General features: G+C 46.6%; 3 annotated features.

Moving 5' to 3' along the window:
* Positions 956-1165: an enhancer, noted in NCBI's record as "active region_5730". NCBI's record gives its function as "activates an Ori minimal core promoter by ATAC-STARR-seq in GM12878 lymphoblastoid cells {active_cell/tissue: GM12878}" and the evidence as "EXISTENCE:reporter gene assay evidence [ECO:0000049][PMID:35858748]".
* Positions 4390-5276: a transcriptional cis regulatory region, noted in NCBI's record as "chr11:128494058-128494944 region (GRCh37/hg19 assembly coordinates) targeted for CRISPR interference". NCBI's record gives its function as "positively regulates ETS1 gene expression in GM12878 lymphoblastoid cells {active_cell/tissue: GM12878}" and the evidence as "EXISTENCE:mutant phenotype evidence [ECO:0000015][PMID:33828297]".
* Positions 4999-5048: a silencer, noted in NCBI's record as "silent region_4055". NCBI's record gives its function as "represses an Ori minimal core promoter by ATAC-STARR-seq in GM12878 lymphoblastoid cells {active_cell/tissue: GM12878}" and the evidence as "EXISTENCE:reporter gene assay evidence [ECO:0000049][PMID:35858748]".

The following is a 6377-nucleotide window of genomic DNA, read 5'->3' as shown; positions in this document are numbered from 1 at the left end:
ATCCTTCATTGGCTGTCTCTCCTCACCTTTGCAGGGCTTCCTGGGGCTGTCCTGATAAGAGAACCTTTGCTATGATCCCCTCAAATCCCTCCCTTTGGCAAAATGATTAGGGCCTATCTGATGGAATGTGAGGTACACTCAGAAGTCCCCTCCAATCTCCCGCAGGGTCCCCGATTTTGATCTTAGCCTTCCTGGCTTCATGCTCACCACTACCTGCTGCAGCCCTGGCCAGAATCCTTCCATTCTGTAGAATGCAAACACCTTCAGAAGGGGATGGCTACTTTCATCCCTAAGGTCTTACTGTGATCTGGTTTAGAACTCTTTTCTTTGCGGAAGGGGGAAAACTAGGAGTAGGAAGCAAAAGGAGAAGGGTCAGGAAGTGCTAAGGGGAAGGGATGGGGTGCTGCCTTTCCATGTGGCTGACGGCCGAACTTGGTTCTGGGTGCATGGGTTCTGAAAGCACCCTCGATGACACAAAGTGTGTTTAAATACAGGGTGTCCTGATGTGGGATGCAAAACAACACCCACCCTCTCCCCCGGCCTACCCTCATAAGCCGAATATTAATTTTACACTCCACAAACACTTTGATGGCATCAATGCGGTATAACAGTACATTCTGTTTTCTGCCATGCAGTGTGGGTGATCACTCAGTGCTCTTCGGTAGTGATGAAAGAATCAGACTCCACTGCAGAAAACACCTCATTCTATTCTCAGAAGGTCAGTCATGAGAAATGGAGCTTTCTTTAAAACAGGCTTACAGAAAACAAAAACACGAACTTTTTAGCTTATTAACGAAAAAGCTCTCCATCTGCTTTTTTTTTTGTTGTTGTTAATAAACAGATATAGTTAATAGTTTACGGATTTTAGCTGTGGTTTTTCCTTTTTCGTTTGTTTGTGAAATGTTTTTGCTTTTCAGTTTTAAGAAGAAATTTCACACCTCCCTCTGAATTTCTCATGACTTTGACTGCTGAGCTAAACTTGCCATTCTTGTACCCCGTGCTGTGCTGATAAGAGAATCTTTGCTCTGTAACCCTCAAACACAAATATCTCCCAAATGTGGAGACATTTCAGGATCTCTCCACAAATACAATCTTTAAGACTTACACTTTGGCAAATCTTCAAGCCCCAAACACCTTGCCACTCCATCAGTGGCCCTAATTCAGAGTGTATACCTCTCTGAAGGCCACCGGGGTGTGATCACGTGGGAGACATCTGAGCAATCTCCAGGGTCACTGGGCAACCCCAGACACACACAACCTGCCCAGAGGGGCCTGGTGTATTTCTTTCTCAGGCGGCAGCTGGATTCTAACTTACTGCAAACAGGTCACATTCAGTGACTTGACGCACAGATGGGACATGGCAATGTCAAGCAGCACTCTTTCTTCATCGCTGTCCCTATTTCTTCCCTCAGTGTTTCAGCCAGGGTGGTCCTGATAAGAACTCTGTGGGCAACCAAGTTCAGCTCCTGAGCTCATTTAGGGTAGATGTGGAAGGAGCTAGGTGAGGAAGGAGGAGAGCAGGCTCTGGAAGGGCGTGGCAGCCTCCCTGTCATTCTTTCTCTCTCCTCCCCTTTTCCTCCCTACTGTCCTTACATGAACGGTTTTCCTGGGTTTATCCTCTTCTCCTATAGGTGATAAAATCTCCCCCACCTCTCACAACACCTCCAATAAGGACAAAGGAGGGCTGGCATGCTCCTTCTGGTGGTCATTTGTTGCAGGACACCAGTATAGACTGTCACCCAAGTAGCAAGAAGAGAGGGGTCTCTTTTGATTTCTGGGGCGAGCCTGGCACTGATCTGGCTGGCTTACATGACTCAGCCAGGCTCAAGCTCCCCCGTGTCCCATGGCGGGAGGGTGTTTGCAGCTGTGAGTAGGTCCAGTCACAGTGACCCCAGCAGCGCCAGGTCAGGGTGGGCGGTGGGGCAGCGGGCGGGGGCGGGGGGCCTGGCAAGCCCCAGTTTCTGCTGTTGCATCTGCTGGATTCAAGCCTTGGCAACCAACTCCACCCGCTTAACAACAATTCATGGCATCTCATTACTCTTTCCTTTTCACTTTAGTTAGTAACTGGGTTCAGCCCAGGAAACTCTGGCTTCCAATCCTTGAGTGTTTTGACTTGGGGACCGTAAACTGTCTGATTTCTTGGACAAACATAATCTTGAGGAACTTTTCTCTTTACACAATGGCTAGGCTCTGTGAATGTCATGGCTCCCCATTCAGGCCTTGGTAGATTTTTTTCCCCCTTCCTACAGACGTCAAACTACTTAAAATAAATATTCCCTTTGGTTTTCGGGGCTCTTTCCTTTGGATTACTCACCTTTATCTTGGATTGGACGGCAGCTGGAAGGCAGAGATAGGGTTCATGGTGACTCTTGCACAGAGGCGGAGGAATCGCCTAGGCCAGGGAACCCAACCTAGGATTTAGTTTTTAGTGATTCTGGGGCTCACCTTTGACGTTGAAGATTTCACTGTTTTTGCCATATGGTGCCATTTATCCATGTGTGACTTTCCTATTTGGAGTGACTGCTAATCGTCTCCTTGCTCCAACTTCCCCTCCTCTGTGTCCCCTACCCAGCCACCATAGTTCTTTCCAAAGCAAATATGGTCATGTCTCCCCACCTCCTGCTACTGGGAACCTCTGAGGCCTCAGAGATAAAGTCTCATTTCTCAGTCAGGCAAACCGAGCCCTTCATGGTATGGCCCCTCTTACCTTCCCAGTCTCTTTCCCGCACACTTCCCTAGGCGGCCCCTGCTTCAGCCCCCCTCCAAACGCAGGGTGTTGGCTTATGATGTGTGAGTCCTTCTGCCTAACATTTCTCTTCCTTCCTTGTCAGAGTCCAACTTATCCATAAAGACCCATTTCAGATGGTACTGTGTGAGGCCTTCCTATACAGAAAGCGTCCCTCCATCCTTCCTCTGTGTAATATATATATTAGCAATCACTGCATTATGTTGTGGTTAACAACTTTCCAGCCATCCAAATAGCAGCTAGCTTACTTACTGTTACAATTATTATTTTAGTGCAAATAGACTAATTACCTTAATTCTTTTTCTTCTCCTTTTTTGTCCTCCCTTTTCTCATTCGTTTTGGTGGCTAGTATTATTTTTGCAAGCTTTGCTGAACCTGGTATTGTGCCTGGCATTCTAGAAAAAAAAAAACAGTTTTACATGCTGACTTTTGCCCTATCAAATATCTGCAATGCCTAGATGCAGACCAGGCATTTTGTGTCTGCTGCTATCTCATTTAAATAACACACACACTCTGTGAGCTAGATGTTTCGTTTTTTTAATTTTCACATGAGAAAAACCAAGGCTTAGCGAGTTTAAATACATTTTTCAAGGTTAGCAGTGGCATAATTTAGACTCAGGTCTCTCTGATCCCAGATCCTGTGCTGGGTTGGACTACCCCACAGAACTGCACAGGGAGTCTGTGTGTGGGAGCCGGGCCAGAAGGACTGTGCCCCAGCAGCATACTGTGAGGGTTGACCTTTCTGTGCCTTCATGCTCTGTTTGTGGGATGGAAATGGAAACCTTAACTTACAGTCCTTGGGATGGTTGCTAAGGGCAACAGGTTTGTATGAAAGCACCTGCAATTGTTAGACAGAACAAAAAAGTAAGATGACTGGGTCTTTTCCACCCTTCTCCAGTCTTATTCCTATCCCACCCTCAAATTTATAGTGCTTTCCTAGTCAGAGAGATTCACCCCTGGAGAAAGTCAGCTGCAGTTAGATTGATTGCTAGGTAAAAACCAAGGGTTTCATATCTCTAAATGGGGTGCAAGAGCAAGTGGGTCTGGTGGACTTAGGTGTGGGAATGTCAGAAACCGCGTGGAGACCAGGTCACACTGAGTGTAGGTTGGGGAAAGCTTGTAAACAGAGCGTCCGAGGAAAAGAGAAGTTGGTGGGGGAGGAACGTGACTGCCAGGCAGCATTCTCTGGGCTGAGGCAAGCCAAGGTCCAGGCACAGGGGTGTTGAGTGAGCACCCTAAGTGTCGGGATCCTGGTGACAGGCGCATTCTCTGTAACACCCAGCATCACCGAGTGTGGGCCCTCCTGCCCTCTGGGATCCTGTCCTTTATTCCTTTCTTTTCATCCAGACCTAGGATCCACTGGAATTGATCTGTCAGTGCGTGTTTATTAAAGCATCTACTGGGTACAGGACACCGAGAAGATACAGAATTGTAAAACTCTGATCGTGGGCCTTATTCATAAGAAGCTTGGCTGGAAAAACGTAGATAATAGATTCCTACATTGACTCACTCTTTTAGCCATTATTTATTGGATGCTTTCTTGTGTTTCAAGGTAAAATGGAGGAACACCAGTGAACAAACAACACGCTGGGGTGTGGTAGTTGTTGCTATTCAGAAAAAGAACACCTGCGGGGGGGAAAAGGGTGAGTGGAGGAGGGGATCTGTGAGCTGTTTGATGTAGAGTGGTTGCCGAGCCGGGGGCACCCCTGATGCAAAGTCAGAGCCAAGCTCACAACTTTATTGCTGCCCATGGTGGTGGCAACCTCACTCTCGTTATTGAAACAGGACACGTGGTCTAATTGCTGGCTTTTATTGACTGAGGTATTTGAAACTTGGTCTTACTTAAAAAATTCAGTGTGGGTTGTTGCCCTACTGAGCTGATTGTGCACCTTAGTTCTATGGTCCCTGCAATGAGCTGCTGCCCTCTGTGAGTTCCCTTCTGGTGATTAAATGGGGGGAGTAAGTGCAAGAAGGCCGGCAACAGGCAGTAGCAGCTAGTATGTCTTCCTGATTCTCAGTCACCTTCTTTTAGCACTGTTTTTTGGTTTCCTGCTGAAAAAAGACAACTGAAGCCAGTCACCCTGCAAGTTCACCGGTGCCTGTCACCTCTCTCTCAGGCCCGGGAGCCCCGCCCCTGCATTGGCATCCCCCCACCCCACCCCCCAACCCCGCTGCCCGCTCTCCTAGGCACGCGGCCTGCCTGGTTGTGAAACTTCTTGTTTGGGGAGTAATCCTATCTCGCCCTATCTGCCCCAGTTATGCTGAAGTCAAGCGAGGACTGTTTTGTCAAAGCCGACCGGTGCCCAGAACCCATCTCTGAGTTGCTACCCACCTCTTCTCTTCAAAAACAGGAAGTCACCTCAGGCCAGAGTAAATCAGTCCTAATACCCTGGGGTGTGCATTTTGTTAGAGCTCAGAAGGTTGGTTTAAAACTTGGCAAGTTAGATCCCTGGATGGCCTGGGCATGTTCTTTTTGTTTTCTCCCAAGCTTCTTGATTTCTCCTTCGCCCTGACCTTTACTCTTTGATTCAGAGTCAAGCTTCTTGGGTAGACCTTCAAGAAAGGTCAATGGTGGGTTTAGAGCCCCTCCCAGGGATTTGAGGAGCCCATACTGCAGGTAGACAGTTGACTTTGGGGGTTGGAATAAAGGATAAGGCCCCAGATTCTGGACTCCTTTTTTTTTAAATCTTATTTGGTTTTTATGTTAGTTTTATGTTAGCTGACACTACTGCCTCACAACTAAAGTGATACATTTATTTATTTTATTTATTAATTATTATATAATGTAGAACAGTCTAGTTTTATTGCTTTTAAGTGATAAAGAGCCTGTCTTTGCTCCCCCCCAACCTTTTTTTCTTTTCTTTTTTTGGGACATACATTAAGTTGTGAATCAGATGTTAAGCGATGTGGAGACGGAAGGAAAATTGATGACTTCATAATATTTTTACAACTTTACAACGAATATAAATCTGAGTCTGTTGCATGTACCAGGGTCTAACAAGGGCAGAAAACAAAGGCAAACTCAGGTTTATGAACGCTACCCCTACACACAGAGGTGCTGGGGGACGGGGGATAAATCCTTAAATGCAGAAGACCAGCTCAATACATGTGGGCATTTTAGGGTTAACACTGCAGGTAATAGGTTGTGGAAAGCAGGAATGTGGGATGTAAGTTTTGACACAGGTCTCCTTAGCACAGCTGGGGCAATGATGGCCACAAACACAAGAAAAGACAGCGGCTTAAGTCAATGGTGGGCGTGGTACCCTCCGAACTCTCAGGAGTCAATCACAAGGGGCAGGGTGACATCCACCCATCACTTTCCTAATTCCTAAATTCTGCACTTCTAAAGACAATTCAAGGAAGCAAACAATATCTTGGTTTCTAGAAAAGATGTCTGGGTTCTAGGGGACAGAGTTCATAGAATGTGAACATTGATGCCACTACAAAAACAAGTTTAAAAAAAAAAAAGTAAAAACAACCACCTAACCTAAGCAACAGCAAAACTGCAAGGAGCTTTTGGAACAAACGGCTGTGCCCTCAGCCTCAAACTACATACTCAGGCCTCAAGGTGACCTCTCTGATTACGGAGGCATCACCTTTTCACTACAAAGTGACACATTTATGTATTTCA

Source organism: Homo sapiens, chromosome 11 (genome assembly GCF_000001405.40).
Source record: "Homo sapiens chromosome 11, GRCh38.p14 Primary Assembly".
NCBI lineage: Eukaryota > Metazoa > Chordata > Mammalia > Primates > Hominidae > Homo > Homo sapiens.
Note: the sequence above shows the minus strand (reverse complement) of the source record. Positions and strands in the feature narration are given on the sequence as shown.